We start from the raw sequence: 19942 nt of genomic DNA on the forward strand, positions 1-19942 counted from the left end.
GGTTTTTATGGGCACAGTAACGGGGGGGGGTGGGGAAGGCTATGGGTGGTTTTGGAAAGGACAACATTTGAGCAGGAAAACAGGGATGTAAGTTCTCATTTTGGGCTGCAGTTCCAGGCTTGAGGATGGAGCCCTCACCAGGGACCTGCCCTTTTCTACCCAGAATTTCCCTGCCTCCCCTCCCTATCACTACTACTGTATCACTAATAGTGCCGTAATTTGGAATGGGCTAGGGAGCCTTATTAGTTCCTCTGTAATCATTCCAATTAAATGACTTCTTATGGCCCATTTTTCAAATACTTTTTTTTAGGTCGACGACTTGTAATTATACATATTTATAGGGTACAGTTTGACATTTCCATTCATATGTATGTTGCATAATGATCAAACAGGGTATTTAGCTTGAACATCACTTTACGTGTTCATCATTGCTTTGGGTGTGGACATTCAAAAGCCTCTCTTCTAGCTATTTTGTAATTACGTTCCATGGTTTTTTTGTTTGTTTGTTTTTGGTTTTGTTGAGACAGAGTTTCACTCTTGTTGCCCAGGCTGGAGTGCAGTGCTGCGATCTCGGCTCACTGCAACCTCTGCCTCCCAGATTCAAGCGGTTCCCCTGCCTCAGCCTCCCAAGTAGCTGGGATTATAGGCACCCGCCACCACTCCCAGCTAATTTTTTGTATTTTTAGTAGAGATGGGGTTTCACTATGTTGGCCAGGCTGGTCTTGAACTCCTGATCTCAGGTGATCTGCCCACCTCTGCCTCCCAAAATGCTGTGATTATAGGCGTGGGCCACTGCACCCCACCCTGTTCCATGTTCTTAAGACCTAAAGTCTTAAAATAACTTTAAAGCTAGGCATGGTGGCTCACACCTGTAATCCCAGCATTTTGAGAGGCTGAAGCGGGAGGATCCCTTGAACTCAGGAGTTCACTTGAACCTAGGAGGTGGACTCTGCAGTGAGCTGTGATCATGCCACTGCATTCCAACCTGGATGATGGAGTGAGACCCTGCCTCAAAAAAAAAAAACAACTTTTAAGACTTCCCTTTCTGTACAATGCATTTAAGAGGTGGGGGAGAGAATTGCCTATTCCTCTTTTCTTCTTTTACCTTCTTTCTCATTTTTATATGCTTTTCAAATGAAGAAATTTTTTCTTTTTGTATCTATTTATTTTTTCCATTCTCTCATCATAGCTCCAGGGACAACATTGTTCTAATGGTAATAACTTGTTCAGGAATGAGTCTAAGATGTTTTGCTGATTCTTATCTCTGATTCTCCTTTGTTTGTTGTTTTCATATTCAGATTTCTCTCTCCTGTTATGCTAATGTGGAAGTATTATGATCCCCTTGAGTCTAAGTGCTTGGGTGATTTGGACCCTGCTTAAAAGAAAGGTTTTCTTCCTTCGTTTTTGAGGAAATTGGGCTCAGACCTAATGATCTACTGTCAAGAAATACTGTTAGCTTTATATGTTAGTCTTTGAAAATCATTTCATTTTTCTCAAACTCACTAGATAGTATCACATATAATTTTATAATTTAGTTGTTTCAAGATGATAGCAAGAGTAATGAATCCTTCTTTTAATAATGGTTGTTTTCAGCAATGATTAGTTTTTTATTCTATTTTTCTCAATTTTTCAAAATTTAAAGAAACATGCATTGCTTTTAATAGAGAAAAAATGTATATTTTTAAAGAACAATGGAGATATTTTTTCATTACTTTATGTGCACTACTTATTTTATGCGTTTTTTTTCTAAGGGAATGGGACAGGTTCAGCCTTATAAGATACTACAAGCCCAACCCTCAAATGTACAATTCTCTCTTTAGAAGGACTTTAACAAAATGTGTAGTAATTGGTATATTTAATAAAAAAAAAAAAGTAAATAGAGAATCATTAAGTGATCTCCAAGTATGCTTATTTTTCTAAATATACTTTTAAAGATATATAAGTGGTATTATTAGACTTAGAAAAGCCAGAAGAACTGATATGGCAGGTCACTAGATTATTTTATAAAATATGCAGCCTTGTTTGTATTTTAAGACACTAGGTATATTATGTGTGTCAAAATCAGATCAAGTTAGAATTTTGAGAGTTTACTATGCATGCAAAAGAAAAGTTTATGAACCAGAAAGACCTCAAACTGAAAAATGGCACGAAGTCTCAATTTTACAGCCATTAAGACAGCACAGTTCATAGACTGTAAAATAGGAAGTATTTTGACCTTTCCCATGATTGGCTGTCCTATATTCTTCTTTAAGGCAAACAAAGATGTGTAAGCTGATTTGTCTATAGTTGATTGGTTTAACTTCACTGACTCAAAAGGACAAGAAGTTTATGTTTGTGTTTGGGGTTATTGTTCTGTGGAAATCAAGATGCCTTAAGTTTTGGTTACCTATGTACAGTGGCCTTGTGTATCTAAACTGTGTCCACCATTTTTATTTATTAAACCTATGTTATCTTTGCAGTTTGTCTGGAAACTTTTTTTTTTTTTTTTTTGAGACAGAGACTGTGTCACCCAGGCTGGAGTGCAGTGGCACAATCTCAGCTCACTGCAACCTCTGCCTCCTGGATTCAAGTGATTGTCCTCAGCCTCCTGAGCAGCTGGGACTATAGGTGTGCACCACCAAACCCAGCTAATTTTTGTATTTTTAGTAAAGACGGGGTTTTACCATGTTGGCCAGGCTGGTCTTGAATTCCTGACCTCAAGTGATCCGCCCACCTCAGCTTCCCAAAGTGCTGGGGGGTTATAAGCGTGAGACACCGTGCCTGGCTAGGAAACGTTTTTATCTTTAAAAATTGAACTCTACTTGGGGTAAAACCTTTTGTTGCTCTTGCAACAGTTAACTTCTTCTTCCCGTGTTTTACCTTCATAATTGATAGGCACTTCCATCCTAATATTTATTGAAAAATAGTTAAGAAAAAGGATGCTGTGCTATGACAAGATTGGGTTCTAAATCCAGTTATTCCACTTACTGCTCTTGACTATAGACACATCATTTTATTTTATTTTTTTGGGACAGGGTCTTACTCTGTTGCCCAGGTTGGAGTGTAGTGGCACAATCACGACTCACTGCAGCCTTGACTTCCTGGGCTCATGTGATCCTTCTACCTCGGCCTCCCAAGTAGCTGGAACTCCAGGCACACACTACCATCCCCAGCTTTTTTTTTTTTTTTTTTCACCTGTAGACATGGGGTCCCACTAGTTGCCCAGGCTTAACTTGAATTCCTACATTCAAGCTATCCTCCCACCCTGGCCTCCCAAAGTATTGAGATTACAAGTGTGAGTCACTGCATCCAGCCAGACATATCATTTTAAACATCTCTAAACTTTGGTGTTTTTATCCGTAACATGAGAATGCATCAGTGGATTAATCAAAGTCCTTCAAAGAAACATAATATGTGTGTGTGTGTGTGTGTGTGTGTGTGTGTGTGTGTAGTGAGGGAGAATTCACTCTTGCTCTGCCATTTTGTTTAATTTGAGCCCTCAAAGGATTGGATGCTACCCACCCATTGATGAGGATGGATCTTCTTTTACTCTGTCTGCTGATTGAAATGCTAATCTGTTCTGGAAATACCCTCACAGACACCCAGAAATAATGTTTTATCAGCTATCTGCGCATTCAGTAGCCCTGTCAACACGTAACATTCACAATCATAGTAAGGATAAACTAAGTTATGTTGTATAGTAAAATCGCCTCCAAAATCTCAGTGGCTTATACCAACAAACATTTATTTCTTGTTCATGTTACACACCCATCATGTACTGGCTGAAGTTCTGTTCTAGTTTTCTCCACTTCAGAACTTAGACCATGGAGTTAGGGGGGAAAAGAGACTGAGAGAATCACTGGTTTTTTTGTTTCTATTTTTATTTATTTATTTATTTTGAGACTGAGTATCGCTCTGTCGCCAGGCTGGAGTGCAGTGGCACGATCTCAGCTCACTGAAATCTCCGCCTCCCGGGTTCAAGCAATTCTCCTGCCTCAGCCTCCCCAGTAGCTAGGATTACAGGCACGCACCACCACTCCCAGTTAATTTTTTTTCTTTTTTGTATTTTTAGTAGAGACGGGGTTTCACCACGTTGGCCAGGATGGTCTTGATCTCCTTACCTCATGATCCATCTGCCTCGGCCTCCCAAAATGCTGGGATTACAGGTACGAGCCACCGTGCCTGGCTGAGAACCACTGGTTTTAAGTCTTTTATCCTGAAGTAGCGCGTGTCATTTCTGCCCACATTTCATTGGCCATCCCAAGTCATATGGCTACTCCTGCCTATAGGCAGGGGTTATACTACTCCCACAGAGACAGAAGCCAGAATACTTACTGGCAAACAGTAATACGGTTTACCGCAGAAACAGTAAAAAAAAATACCTATGTCATAGCATCAGGAGTCAAATGAGATGCACTCAAACTGTTCCGCAGACTGCCTAACACTGAGTAAGTGCTTCATTGACAAACAAGGCAATTAGATGCTTACACGTTTATAGAATGCAGAGGAGATTATTGTCTACTTTGCATCCCCAATCCCAGAAAGATAGTTTGATGTTTAGTAAGTATTTGCTTAGCTACATCATTTACATACCAAGGAAGTCTTAACTAAAGCAGTTAAATCACTAGGCCATTTTTCTGTGTACTGCTTAAACCATGGAACTAAAGTTACCTAAGGTAAGCCTCAGTTTGGATAATCAGGTCATAGATAAATGACTTAAATATTTTAAGATAAATCTTTAACATCTGCCTTTCCATTGGATTCCTCAATTATGTATATCATATTTAAGAGAAGCCAATAAAACTCTCTGAGCTGACGGTACAGCCTGAGCTGCCCTTTCCCCATTAAATTGATCAGCTATTGATTCGTTCTGTTGGTGTGTAGCAGTCTTTTCTTAAATGGAACAAAGGCAATTGTGTGTGGATTTTAAGGCTTTTTATAGCGTATACCTGTTCATATAATGTTTGTTTGAATCACCAAAGATTTTGCTGTTAGTTTTAGTTTTTCTCTTTGTTATTTTATTTCAAAACTAATACAGCAAAATTGAGTTTTTCATATGTGTTCCATTCTATGAATTTTAAAATATATATATATAGATACATGTAACCACCACCACCATCATCATTAGACAAAAACTCTATTTTGATTTCTTGTCCTTAACAGAGCAGAATAATAATTTAAAAATAAAATAGGCTCGGCGTGGTGGTTCACATCTGTAATCCTAGCACTTTGGGAGGCTGAGACAGGCAGATCACCTGAGGTCAGAAATTCGAGACCAGCCTGGCCAACGTGGTAAAACCCTGTCTCTACTAAAAATACACAAATTAGCTGGGCGTGGTGGCACGTGCCTGTAGTCCCAGCTACTCAGGAGGCTGAGGCAGGAGAATCTCTTGAACCCAGGAGGTGGAGGTTGCAGTGAGCCAAGATCGCAACACTGCACTCCAACCTGGGCAAGAGAGCAAGACTCTGTCTCAAAAATAAAAAATAATGAAAAAAATAAAACACTGATAATATTAGTTGAAAATAAATGTGTTTGTGTGTGTAATTATAACTGTTAGCATTTTATCATTGGTTTCAAGATGTGTATTTCTATCTTCATAATGTAAAGCCTGATGATTGTGACACTAAGATGAATTGGTAATGGTAAGGGAACACTGAAGTCCTTTTACATTTCTGTGAACGCTAATTACAACAGATGTTTTGTCTCAACCTGTTTTAGCACAAATACTGAAAACGTTAACTCTTAGCAGTTTAGAAGAGAATTTCCTGTTACAGTTAAGTTATAGATCAAATGTAAATTAGAATCTGTTCACAATATCTAATCTTTGTCATTTGGGTCGTAAGAATTGGAAAGTTTCCTTTCTTGCGCTCCCTCATTCACTTTCTGATGCGATTAATGAAAATGTATTAGTAATTGCTAGAGTAAATACAGATACTGGTAATTTACTTAGTAGCTGTTACAGTGCCATTAATGAAGTAATGGATGAAATATGTTTCTGGTCTTATTCTATCTTATATGACTTGGTAAGTGTCGAAGGTGAATCCAGAAATAGGATTTCCTAGAACACTGGCATTGGTCTTTCGAACATTGCCTAGAAGTCTTTGTAGGACTTATGCCAAAATAACCATACTGATTTATTGGGACATTCAGTCATTTATACATTCAACTACAATGTAAGTATTTGGGGCCAGGAATTGAGCAAGGGAATAGGGAAATGAACATAAACAAGATATACCTGTGGGATATGAGGATGTATGGTTTAATTGCAGGATAGGGAAGTAAGTGCTAATACAAATCTATACATTGTGCTTTGGCATTGAGAGTAGAGCTATCAACTGTCTGGAAAAAGATATAAAAAACATAATATCGTTACAGCAGGGATGAAAGCATTATGCTGAGTGAAATAAGCCAGATACAAAAGAACAAATATTATATGATTTCAATTGCAGTAGTTAAATTCATGGAGACAGTAGAATTGTGGTTATGAGAGGCTTGAGGAGCAGTTATGGGAGAGTTGTTTAATGGGTACAGAGTTTCAGTCTGGGAAGATCAAAAGGTTCTGGAGATGGACAGTGGGTGGTGGTTTGTCCAACATTGACTGGACTTAATGTCACTGAACTGTATACCTAAAAATGGTTCAAAATCAACCAGTCTTGCCTGGGCACGGTGGCTAATGCCTGTAATCCCAGCACTTTGGATGGCAGACGTGGGTGGGTCATTTGAGGTCACGAGTTTGAGACCAGCCTGGCCAACACGGTGAAACCCCATCTCTACTAAAATACAAAAATTAGCCAGGCATGGTGGCGGGCGCCTGTAGTCCCAGCTACTCGAGAGGCTGAGGCAGGAGAATTGCTTGAACCCAGGAGGCAGAGGTTGCAGCGAACGGAGATTGTGCCACTGCACTCCAGCCTGGGTGACAGAGTGATATTCCCTCTCAAAAAAAAAAAAAAAAAAAAAAAAATCAACCAGGCTCAGTGTCATGCATCTGTCGTCCCAGCTACTTGGGAAGCTGAGGTGCGTACATGGCTCCAGTTCAGGGGTTTGAGTCTAGCCTGGGCAACATAGCGAGACCCTGTCTCTTTAAAAAAAAAAAAAAGTTTAAAATGGTAAATTGTATGTCTGTTTTACCACAATAAAACAATAAAAGTAGGAATTTTAAAAATATAATATCATTATCATTAATAGTCACATTCTCTTCATTTTAAGAGATTCTTAATTTAAGGAATTTTTATACTTTTCCCCCACCTTTTTTTTTCTTTTCTTTTTTTTTTTTTTTTTTTTTTGAGATACTCTATCACCCAGGCTGGAATGCAGTGGCGCAATCTTGGCTCACTGCAACCTCCAACTCTTGGACTCAAGCAATTCTTGTGCCTCAGCCTCCTAAATAGCTGGGATTACAGGCACACGTGACCATAGTCAGCTTTTTTATATATATATATATGTATTTTGTATTATATGTATATAAGTATTTTGTATTATTAGTAGAGATGGGGTTTCACCATTTTGGCCAGGCTGGTCTCAAACTCCTGACCTCAAGTGATGTGCCTCAGCCTCCCAAAGTGCTGGGATTACTAGTGTGAGCCACTTTATCCAGCCCACTTTTCTCCCATTTTTTGTCTCTGTTATAATTTTTCTAATAAGATCTTATATGTACCAGCTAATCTCTAGCAAGGCTATGCCATTAGAATGTTTGTGTTAGAGCCAGGAAATGTGGGTGAAACTTGCTTTGCCACCTTAGTCAAGCTAATATAATTCAGAACATCTGAAATAGTTTTGCATGAAATGATATATTTAATAAATTCTAAATTCCCATGTTTTATTATTTAATTGAAATAAGGCTAGGCATGGTGGGCATGGTTGCTGATATCTGTAATACCAGCGCTTTGGGAGGCTGAGGCAGGAGGATCATTTGAGTGCAGGAGTTCAAGATCAGCAAGCGTGGGCAACATAGTGAGACCCCGTCTCTAGGAAAAATGTAAAAATTAGCCTGGCGTGGTGGCATGTGCTTGTCATCCCATCTACTCGAGAGGCTGAGGTGGGAGGATCACTTGAGGTGAGGAGGTCAAGGCTGCAGTAAGCCGTGATTGCACTTTTGCACTCCAGCCTGGGCAACAGAATGAGACTCTGTCTCAAAGAAAAAAAAAAAAAGAAATAAATCCTTAGATGTTACAATATGGTTAACCCTTGAAACCAATAAGTGAAAGAAGCCAGTCAGAAAACAAGTCACATATTATATGAGTCTATTTATATAAAATATCCAGAATAGGCAAATCTGTAGAGTTAGGAAGTAGACTAGTGGTTGTTTTAGAGCTAGGAGAAGGGTTCATGAAATGAGGGAAAATGGGAGTGGCTGCTAATGGGTACAGGGTTTGTTTTGGGGGAAGGAAAATGTTCTAAAATTAGATTGTGGTAATGGTTTTACAATCCCGTGAATATACTAAAAAATGTTAATTGTATATTTTGAATGGATAAATTGTATATGAATTATATTTCAAACTATTTTAAAAATATTTAAAGGGAATGGTATAGTTTGTCTTTTTTTGGAGGTTTTTTTTTTCTTTAGCATTTAACTTAAATGAGCTGAAAACAACAGAGCAGTGTAAAGTTTAGCATTTTGAACATGCATGTACTTCATAACAAAGCTATCATCTGAGAGGGCTTTCTGTTTGATCGCTATTGGTGTGGATGTAAACGCATCTCAATGCAAGTGTCAACATATTCTTCACATACTGAGTGATTGCACAGGGGCCATGCTAGTGTCATTCCAATTTTAGTATATGTGCTGCTGAGGCAAGCACATACTGAGTGATTTTGTTAAGCCAATAGTACATATATTCAAAACTAGGTAGAATGTAATGATGAATTTGATGACTATAGGGCAATAAAAATGAAATTTAGCAGTTCTTTTAAAAACGTATCCATACATAGAACTGCTTTTTAAAATTAAGTCTGTTTTCATTCAATTTATTTTTTTCTTTATATTTTAAGTTCAGAGAAAAATAACAAACATTGAGATGATTATCACTTTGTAAGATGAGGATTCCATGGAATAGTACCAGATGGAAACACTGTTTTTTAATCTGGTTAGCCATTCTGCAGTTCCTGCCTGTAAAATGGTTAATATCTATATTTTAAGCAGCCTTAATACATCAGCCCTTCCATTATAAATGACCCAATATTAAAACACATACTTTTTCCATGCTCGCTGCTACCAGAGCTCCTCAACTGCTCCCCCTCCCATGTGAGCAGATACATGCCCACCAAATCTGCCCTTCAGCTCAGACTCACCCAGCTCAGAGCACCGAGCTGCTCATGACTGCCCTTCTTTCATCAGCCACAATTTGAGCTAAATGCTTCTTTTTCCCTTGGTAAACCTGAGACCCTTCCCTTCACTTGTAAATTACTTTCATAAGAAAATGCATTGTGGGCTGGGAGCAGTAGCTCATGCCTGTAATCCCAGCACTTTGGGAGTCCAAGGCAGGGGGATCACCTGAGGTCAGGAGTTCGAGACCAGCCTGGCCGATATGGTGAAACCCAGTGTCTACTAAAAATACTAAAATTAGCCAGGTACGGTGGCAGGCACCTGTAATCCCAGCTACTCAGGAGGCTGAGGCAAGAGAATCACTTGAACCCAGGAGGTGGAGGCTGCAGTGAGCCCAGATTGTGCCTCTGCACTCCAGCCTGGGTGACAGAGTGAGATGAAAAGAAAAAAGAAAAGAAAAGAGAAAATGCACTGTGGTTTCAATCTCAAGCTTCAGCATACCTTTAGAAATATAATCCATGATGGGGCTACCTTTATTTAAAGTGTCTTCATTGTTACAGGCATACCTCAGAGATACTGCAGGTTTGGTTCCAGACCTCTGCAAAATAGCAAATATCACCATAAAGCAAGTTACGTGAATTTTTTAGTTTCCTAGTGTATGTAAAAGTTATGTTTATACTATATTATAGTCTAGTAAGTATACAATAGCGTTATGTGTAAAAAATGTACATACCTTAATTTTAAAATACTTTATTGCTAAAAAATGAGCCTTCAGCGAGTTATTATCTTTTTGCTTGTGATGGGTCTTGCCACGATGTTGATGGCTATGGACTTATCAGAGTGGTGATTGCTAAAGGTTAAGAAAGGAGCTGTGGCAGTGCAGCTTCTCTCAAAATTGGAGTCAACCCTGTCAAACTCTGCTTTATCAACTACATTTGTATATTATCATAAATACTTTGTTGTCATTTCAACAGTCTTCACAGTGTCTTCAACAGGAATACATTCCATCTCGAAACCACTTTCTTTGCTCATCCATAAGAAACAACTCATCATCTGTTCAAGTTTGATGATGAGATTGCAGCAATTCCGTCATATCTTCAGGCTCCACTTGTAATTCTAGTTGTTTTCCTGTTTCCACCACATCTGCACTTACTTTCTCCATTGAAGTCTTGAACCCCTCAAAGTTATCCATGAGGGTTGAAATCAATGTCTTCCAAACTCCTGTTTATATTGATATTTTGTTCTCCTCCCATGAATCATGAATGTTCTTAACAGCATCTGGAATGACGAGTCCTTTCCAGAAGGCTTTTAATTTACTTTACCTAGATCCACCAGAGGAATCACTATGGCAGTTATAGCCTTACAAAAATGTATTTCTTATATAATGAACTTGAAAGTTGAAATTACTCCTTGGTCCATGTACTGCAGAATGGATGTTGTGTTAGCAGGCACGAAAACATTAATCTCTTTGTACATCCCCATCAGATCTCTTAGATGACCAGGTGCATTGTCCATGAGCAGTAATATTTTGAAAGGAATCTTTTTTTCCTGAGCAGTAGGTCTCGATAGTGGGTTTAAAATATCCAGTAAACCATGCTGTCAACACATGTGCTCTCACCAGGCTTTGGTGTTCCATTTATAGAGTACAGACAGAGTCAATTTATCATAATTCTTGAGGGCCCTAGAATTTTCAGAATGGTAAATGAGAATTGGTTTCAACTTACAGTCACCAGTTGCATTATCCCCTAACAAGAGAGTCAGTCTTTATGTCCTCTGAAGCTTTGAAGCATTGCTTCAAAGCCTTTTGTATTTACTTCTCTTCTCTACCTATGAAAGTCCTAGATGCCACCACTTTTTAATAGAAGGCTGTTTTGTCTACATTGAAAATCTGCGGTGTGCCATAGCCATCTTCATCAGTGATCTTAGCTAAGTCTTCTGGATAATTTGCTACAGCTTCTACTTCAGCACTTGCTTATTCAGTTTGCACTTTCATGTTATGGAAACAGCGTTCCTTAAACCTCATGAACCAACCTCTTCTAGCTTCAAACGTCTTCTGCAGTCTCCTCACTTCAATCAGCCTTTATAGAATTGAAGAGAGTTAGGGCCTTGCTCTGGATTAGGTTTGTGCTTAAGGGAATGTTGTGGCTGGTTTGATCATCTATCCAGACGACTGAAACTTTCTCCATATCAGCAATAAGGCTGTTTGACTTTCTTATCATTCATGAGTTCACTGGAGTGGCACTTTTGATTTCCTTCAAGAACTTTTCCTTTGCATTCATAATTTGGCTGACTGGTGCAAGAGGCCTAGCTTTTAACGTGTCTCAGCTTTTGACATACCTTCCCCACTAAGGTTAATGCCTTCTAGCTTTTGATTTACAGTGAGAAACGTGGGACTTTTCCATCCACTTGAATATTTAAAGGCCTTCGTCAGGTTATTAATTGGCCTAATTTCAATATTGTTGTATCTCAGAGGATAGGGAGGCCCAAGATGGGAAGAGCCAGTTGGAAGAGCAGTCAGAACACACACAACATTTATTAAATTTGCCATCTTATATGGGCGCGGTTTGTGGCACCCCAAAATAATTACAAGAGTAACATCAAAGATCACTGATGACAGATCATCACATCAGATACAGTAATAATTTAAAAAGTCTAAAATATTGCAAGAATTACCAAAATGTGACACAGAGATACGAAGTGAGCACATGCTGTTGAAAAAATTTGCCAGTGCACATGCTTGACACAGGGTTGCCACAAACCTTCAATTTGTAAGAAACACAATATTTGGGAAGCACAATAAAATGATGTATGCCTGTACTTATGTATATACCTATAGATTTACATATAATTATTCATTTGTTCCAGAAATTAAGGCAGGCTGATTAAATGCCTGTTTACCTACTTGAATATATGTTTGTTTACCTGGTCGAGCCAAACTGAAATATTACTGAATGAAAGTTTGTCTTCCTATTGAAATTACAATTTACACCTCTTTTCGTGTATGTTGATGTAGTTGTAACCCATATCTGTATTTAAATGTTTAGTGGTGTGCTTAGCACAGTATAAGCTATTGTAGAAATGCAGAGGGAAGAGTAAAATATAATTTCTGGCCTTGTAGCAGCCTTGTAGCATTCAGTTCTGGAGATTCATTATTGTATTGCCAGGAAGAGCTAAGTAAACACTTTGGTAACACCAGGAACAAGTTGCTGAGAAGTCATAAAGGAAGAAGATTCTGAAAGATGAAGAGAACACAAGTTGTCCTAAACTAAGAGTGCTGAGCAAGGAGAGGAATGGAAGAGAAAGCAAAACAAAAAATACATACTTTGTCTCCTTGGGGACATTAATCTGTGTTAAGTCATGATTCTCTCAGTGGTAGAAACATGGACTTTAATTAAGGGGCAAGTGTATTTTTATTTTGTGTTCTAGCAGTATAAAGTTGCAAGGCCTGTAGTATGAAGCTAAAGATAATTACTAGTGGGAAGGTTTATTTTGAGAACCACGGGGGTGGCGGGGGGAGGGGGAAACCACTACATTTATCCTACTTGTTTGCTATTAACATTTTAATTTGTAAATTGGCATACTGTAGCAGGGCAAAGTTTCATCTAGCTCAGTATCCTGTTTATAGTAAGAGGCCACCCTGAGTGTTTCCAAGAGAAACTGCACCACCCTCTCTGGCCCGGGGTCATGTTTGCTGGTAAACCCCTTTCAAATTTATGTCATGCAAATCAGTACCAGTTATTTCTCCTTCACTTGCTAGTTCGGGAACTAGCTTATCAGAAAGCTGTTTTATTTATTGATAGGTTCCCTGTAATCCATATAAAATTGTGATACAGGGAACTTAAAATACTTACCAAAAGAAAAAAAATAAAAAATTAGATGATTTACATATGGAGTGCTTACTCTATTAGCATATACTGGATTATCTTAATTTATTTTCACAATAGCCCAGTAGCCCTATGAGGTGAATATTATCCTTCTCTCCATTTTATAGATGAGAAGAAGGTACACAGCCTGAGTGTGAAGTTTCATCTCGCAAAGTGTATTACATGTCAAGATGTCATTTCTCACCGCAATAGATATGTCTAAAGCTGTGAGTGCTGCCACTTTAGAAAACAAAGATCTTTGTACAGTTATGTTTCTTAAATTTGGGGGGGATTTTGATGTTCAAGTGTGAAGAACCTGAAAGGCAGAGTATTCTAGCATAAGGCCAGCATATTTACTGTAGGATGCGTAATGTGAGTGTGGCTCTGCCTCGCCCAGCTCCAAGTGTGCAGTATGGCTACAAAGAGGCTGCTGAGGCCAGGCGCGGTGGCTCACGCCTGTAATCCCAGCACTTTGAGAGGCTGAGGCAGGCGGATCACCTGAGGTCGGGAGTTCAAGACCAGCCTGACCAACATGGTGAAACCCCATCTCTACTAAAACCACAAAAATTAGCTGGGCGTGGTGGCACATGCCTGTAATCCCAGCTACTTGGACGCTTAGGCAGGAGAATCACTTGAACCCGGGAGGTGGAGGTGGCAGTGAGCTGAGATCGCGCCAGTGCACTCCAGCCTGGGTGACAGAGCAAAATTCCATCTCAAAAAAAGAAAAAAGAAAAAAAAAAAAAGAGCCTACTGAATACCCAGCCCAGAAATGTAACAGTTTCATGAAAGTGTATCCAGCTGCTTTTCTACTAAATAAGAAATTCTTCAACTCCAATTCCAATTTAGTAGTCTATATGTAACAAGGTTAATAAGGTATATACCTATTAATTCCTGGTAGAGAAAGTGTGGATAAAGGATATCTATGAGTAATTGTATTTGATAATCTTAGTGAAAGGATTATTTTAAACAACCGCTGCTAAGAAGGTGACTGATTTGAGTTCATCTCTGGGCTTCCCCTTTGGCTAAAATGCTAATGTTCACAGTCAATGAAAAGAAAATGGAGAAACACAGGGCATGGTTGATCCGTATGCATGACTAACTCTTGAAGAGCTGAGAGGTAACTGGACGGAATTAGCTGGCTCTTTGATTCCATAAGATCCTTCAAAATATTTTTTGAAGGATGAAATGAGGTAACAGATGTGAAAGTGCAATACTTTGAAAACTAAGAATCACTGGACACATGCAACTTATTAATGAGCCACTCCCTTTATGACATTTTTATTCACTACTGGACTCTGAAAGGCCGTATGTGCCTGCTGTCTCTTTCTTTTCACTTTTCTTTTTCTTTTTTTCTTTGTTTCTTTTCTTTTTTCTTTTTCTCTTTCTCTCCTTCCTTTCCTCCCTCTCTTTCAAATCGATGACCTGACAGCATGCAGCAGTGGAGAAGGGCCACATTAGTCATCTTACCTAATGCTTACATGAATGGTGACATTACAGAACTTCACCTCTGTCACTCTTTCTTATTCGCCCCCTTTGTATCCTTGGAGGAATTTTTAAACACTCTCTGAGTTTTTAATGTTTTTCACTTAAATGTATTCTCTTTCGCTTGGCAAGATACGTTCTTCTTAATCTTCATCTCTTCTTTCTCTTCTTTTTATGCATCTTAAGTATGAAAGTTAGTAGGTGCCCAGTGGTGAAGTGGCTGGCCTCACTGTCGGGTCATGTGCCTTTTGCGTAATAGATACTCAAAAAATATGTGACTGAAATTAAAAAAAAAAAAAAAAAAAAAAAAGAAAGAAACAGGTGAGTTGTAGAGTTTTTTTCCTGATTTTTTTTGTACAAATATGTCATTTGTCTTGGCAATAATATTTGTATTAAAAAATGTGTTAACCTAAATTTGGAAACTTTCTGTATTCCAGTATAGGGGATTATGGGATCTCAAGTGTTTGCCTTAAATACTGATGTTTTTCCCACAAATGTAACAAGGCAGAATGTAAAACTCCTTGGAAGTGAAGTAGAAATGGTGTTTGTTTTGGAATCCTGAAAAATCTTTTTACTCTTTAGGCATTATGTGACTTTATCTCTGTTTTGTCACCTAAGAGAAACAGCGAGCATGAGGAAATAATTGTTGTGTGGAATCCTCTGAAAGTGATATTGAATTCCCAAATCTCATCATAGAATATTACCAACTGATGTTCACTTTAAGAGCCTTGATGATTGGTCTGTTTTCAGCTAGTATGTTTATTTGCTTGCGCTTGTGGTGTTGATGTGAGGAAAACCATTCCACAATTTGTTAAAATGATTAGTGTTTTCTCCTTCCATTTTTTTAAGGAAATGGCAAAAATCCTTAATCACCCCAGAGTCTACGCTTTTCTGCACATACCAGTCCAGTCTGCCTCCGACAGCGTACTCATGGAAATGAAAAGAGAATACTGTGTGGCTGACTTCAAAAGAGTAGTGGATTTTCTGAAAGAGAAGTAAGTCTGTTAGTACTTAAGAAAATAACCATTTCTTTTTTCTTTCAAAAGCTTGTGGCAAAAATGCACTTATTGCAGCCTTACAATTAAAGGTACAAGAGAGAAGGCGAGACTTTCGAAGCTTTCAAAGCCTTTAAGTCTCCTTGGCACCTTTGATGTGGTTTTTTCTTTCTCCTCAGTTTATATCCACCTTCCATCTGTACATGACACACCATTAATTTGTGTAAGATTGCCAGTCTTTTTAAGGTAATGTGAATTGTGATTATTTTTATACCTGACCTGGTGGATGAAAACTGCTTTAGCTTTGCTCTGTGTAAATCTCCTTTAATGTGGCTTTTTGAAGTTATGAGCTGGTTTTGACATGGACAGAGGCCAAATTGTGTCACTACAAAATAGATAATTTTCTACTAAACAGCATTTTTTAAAGAGTATCTGGAATGTCTATGCTTTTACACACGAAGCCCTGCAGTTTGCTTAAAGAATTGTGATTTACAAGAAGGTTTGAGGATTCTACTTTTTAAAGTTCAAATTGCTATTGACCAAAATTAAGGCATATTTACACAATGTCAGACATGAATGATAATTTTGTTTCCACAGAAAATACTTTCAGCCCTTAATTATGTTCTTCAAAACCCTGCTCCTCATCATCACCAAACATTGACTGCCTTCTGTGATTATGCTAGGCAGGAAATGGAAGTGTTGGCCCAGGTCACACAGAGCCTTCTCAAGTCTACATCACTGTTCTCCCCTCTGGGGATATGTCATTTGTCTTGGCGTATTTGTGGCCTGGGTCTTCCTACTTTTCATACATTTTTTCCATAGCCTTTTCCTTTGTTGTTTTTCTTAATTAAGATACAACTTTTTATTTCCATCGTCTTGTTTATAATTATGTACCTTTGTACTATGTCAGAGTACTGCATGGATACGATTGCTTTATACAAATTGTAAGCAATTATTTTTTCCACCTTTAATTAGTCATTTATCCTAACTGCATATGATCATTTTAAAAATCTTTTTCTTTTTTTTCCTTTTTCTATTCTTCCATACCTTTCCATTACATATCTTTCTAAGTTTTTTTTTAACCTCTAGGCATTCTTGATTATCCTAACCACCAAGAATAAAGCTACTTAGTGTACATTCAGACAAATACAGCTAATTGTCCAAATATTCAAATCAGTGCATAGAAGCTGTATTTGTTAAGTGCTACAGCCTTCAAAGTGGAAAATGGAAAATAGATCTCTACCCTTTTTAATACTTTCAAATCTTGAACAGAACTGTGTTAGGCTAAAGAATATAGATTTTTATTTGTTTAAGTATCTGCTGTTGGCCTATAGCCCTTTCTTGCCTTTCTTCTATTATTGCAGGCAAATTTGTCTCATATAAAAGAGTTCTTTTGGGCACTCTGGCACTGGTAAATGGAATATTTTCAAAATTTCAAGTCAGTTGCACTTGTGAAATTTCTTCCTTCTTTGCCTATTACAGCAGTAGCCAATAAAAACTTGATACTTGTTACACAATATTTTCCCAAGTATAAACATGCATCCCGGGTGCAGAATAGACTAGAACACTTTCCAGATAGTTTGTTGCATTAGTGTGATTAAACGAGGTTAAGGAATCAGCACCTCTCTTTTATCTTTATTTGGTTGAGGGCTGACTCAGTTGTTGGAGGAATTACTGTGGCTACTTAAATGGGCAACAATTTCACAAGTTACGTTGTTCTGGAGGTCTGTTAAATCTGTTCCATCTTGGACAGTTCCAACAGCCTCTATGAGCTATATAGAGGTAAAAAGATGATCATGTCAGGTATTAGGAAATAGTCTCTTGGATTTCTTTGGATCTGGGTCCTTTCGTTGGATTCTGAGTTATTGTGAGGCATCTATGTAGTTTTTCTAGAAGTATTCAACCAACTGGAGGATCCTAGAACCAACTATGTTTCCCAGGGATCTCTAGTATTTCTAGCAATGAAAATATTAGACATACCTGGAGAAGATATTGGAGATGCCTGGAGATCACACTCCATCCCATACCCCCCCATATATAGTTTCAGTTTCAAGTGCCATGCGTCAATTAGATTGTAGAGTATGAGTCTAGTCAGTTAGCATCTCTGAGAGATTTTTAAATTAACGCTGTATTGTGTATATGCAGCAAGGGCAGAAGCAACCCTGGTATATAATTTCACATTTAGATTATAAGTAAGATATATTGCAAAACTGTAGTAGGCAGCCAATATGATATACCTGCTTATGTATAGCAGATGACTGAGAAAACTTCAGGTAACCTATTTTAAAAAAAAAAAAAAAAATCAGATTATCACTGCCAATAAAGTGATCCTAGGCCCAGTGCGGTGGCTCACACCTGGAATCCTAGTACATTGGGAGGCTGAGGTGGATGGATCTCCTGAGCTCAGGAGTTCAAGATCAGTTTGGGCAACATGGTGAAACCCCGTCTGTATCAAAAATACAAAAAATTAGCTGATCGTGTTGGCTCGCACCTGTGATCCCAACTACTTGGGAGGCTGAGGTGGGAGAAACAATTGAGCCTGGGAGGCGGAGGTTGCAGTGAGCCAAGATTACGCCACTGCACTCCAGCCTGGGTGACAGAGTGAGACCTATCTCAAAAAATAAAAAAGTGATCCTTGCATAGTTTTAGACAGTTCATCAGAACCATAAAATTGTGTATTTTGTCTAGTCCATCTGTTGTGAAGAATAATATAGACTTACTCCCATGAGGACAGTATAATCAGCTTTGCCATTTAGCGAAAAAGAGTTTTCCTGTCCTCTTGGGGAAGTCCATCTACCTGGTGAGTAATTTCCAACTATTATGGACATTTAGAAGTAGATGAAATATTTTAGACTAGGCACAGTGGCTCACACCTCTAATCCCAGCACTTTGGGAGGCTGAGGTGGGTGGATCACCTGAGGTCAGGAGTTTAAGACCAGCCTGGCCAACATGGTGAAACCATCTCTACTAAATATATATATATATATATATATATATATACACACACACACACACACATATATACACACATACCTACACAAAAATTAGCCAGGCATGGTGGCACGTGCCTGTAATCCCAGCTACTGGGGAGGCTGAGGCAGGAGAATCACTTGAACTCGGGAGGCAAAAGTTGCAGTAAGCTGAGATCGTGCCACTGCACTCCAGCCTGGGTGACAGAGTGAGACTCCATCTCAAAAATAAAAAAAGAAAGAAAAAAGAAATAAATGAAATATTTTAAATAGTTCTTATGTTTGACCTACCTTCCGCTATAAAAACTAGTATAGCTTTATGCCAAATAGATTAGTGCTCATTTTGGAAACACCAAAGTTTCAGGGCTTTCTTTAGAGCCACTAGCCTGGATAACTGATCCAGCACAAAATTGTCTTGTCCAGCCTTTATTAAAATTCAACACAGTATTTTCACTCTTGGAGGGGCCTAACACTATCATGTTGCCCTGATTTGTGCCTAACGCTCATTCATAAAATGATCCTGACTTAAAGTGGTATGTTTGGTGCTTTCTTTTTCTGTTTGCTTTTTAAATCCTTTCTAAATGGCGGCCCATTTCATTTACATCTCTCATTTCCCCTGAAGTCTTTGAAGCCTTTTTTGTAATGTGCCTTTAACAAATAAGTCTCTCTTTTTTCTCCAGCAGTGTGAGGCTTCTCAAATATTTGTGTTATGAGTTATGGACAAGGCATTTCCTGATCTGTTTCCTTAAAAAATCCATTTTTTAAGACAACCTATAGCATTTAAGATTGAAATCCAAACTGTGGGAGTTTACCTGAAGCTGCAAGCTTTCAAACTGCTAATTTTGTGGTATTGGTAGAGCCATGAAAGTGGAAGTGAAATCTTTTTAATTAATTTTCTTTGCAGTTGAAAATGGCCCATGTTTTAGCTGGTAGCAATGTAAGTTTACATATGAGCCAACTAAGCTGGTTCATTATTCTCTTCAGTTGTTTGAAAGTTGGCAGCCATCATCACAACAGCAGCTGGATACAAGATAACCTAGCAGTGTTGGCACATGTTGAGGCATATGGGAATTTATTAAATCATGCAACCTTTGCAAAGAAGAGCGTCTAAATGACTTAATATACTAATTTAAAACAGCTGGCCATGAGCAATCATATGACTTAAATTATTCTATTCAGATTTATTAATCCAATTGAACATTAACTGAGTAATTTGATGTTTTTATCTAAATGGATAAGATGATTTTTTGAAGTATAAAATGGGATTTGTAGGGATAGGGGAAGAAACTATATAGAACAAAGCAAGCGGTGCAATTCTGGTTTTAGAAATAATCTGTGTTTGGCTGGGTGCAGTGGCTGACACCTGTAATCCCAATACTTTGGGAGGCTGA

At 38.3% G+C, this 19942-nt stretch overlaps 1 protein-coding gene and 1 pseudogene across 17 annotated transcripts in view; one reads left to right on the forward strand and one right to left on the reverse strand.

The window, feature by feature from the left end:
- Positions 1-19942, forward strand: part of CDKAL1 (CDKAL1 threonylcarbamoyladenosine tRNA methylthiotransferase) — a 697948-nt gene that overhangs the window by 450334 nt on the left and 227672 nt on the right. For all 17 annotated transcript variants that reach the window (XM_047418949.1, XM_047418952.1, NM_017774.3 and 14 more), the window contains one exon: positions 15437-15582. In XM_047418949.1, the coding sequence (XP_047274905.1) occupies positions 15437-15582 (146 nt within the window). Of the gene's footprint in view, positions 1-15436; positions 15583-19942 lie in introns of those variants that run through there.
- On the reverse strand, positions 8684-8778 carry RNU6-150P (RNA, U6 small nuclear 150, pseudogene; annotated as a pseudogene).

This window comes from Homo sapiens, chromosome 6 (assembly GCF_000001405.40).
Source record: "Homo sapiens chromosome 6, GRCh38.p14 Primary Assembly".
Lineage (NCBI taxonomy): Eukaryota > Metazoa > Chordata > Mammalia > Primates > Hominidae > Homo > Homo sapiens.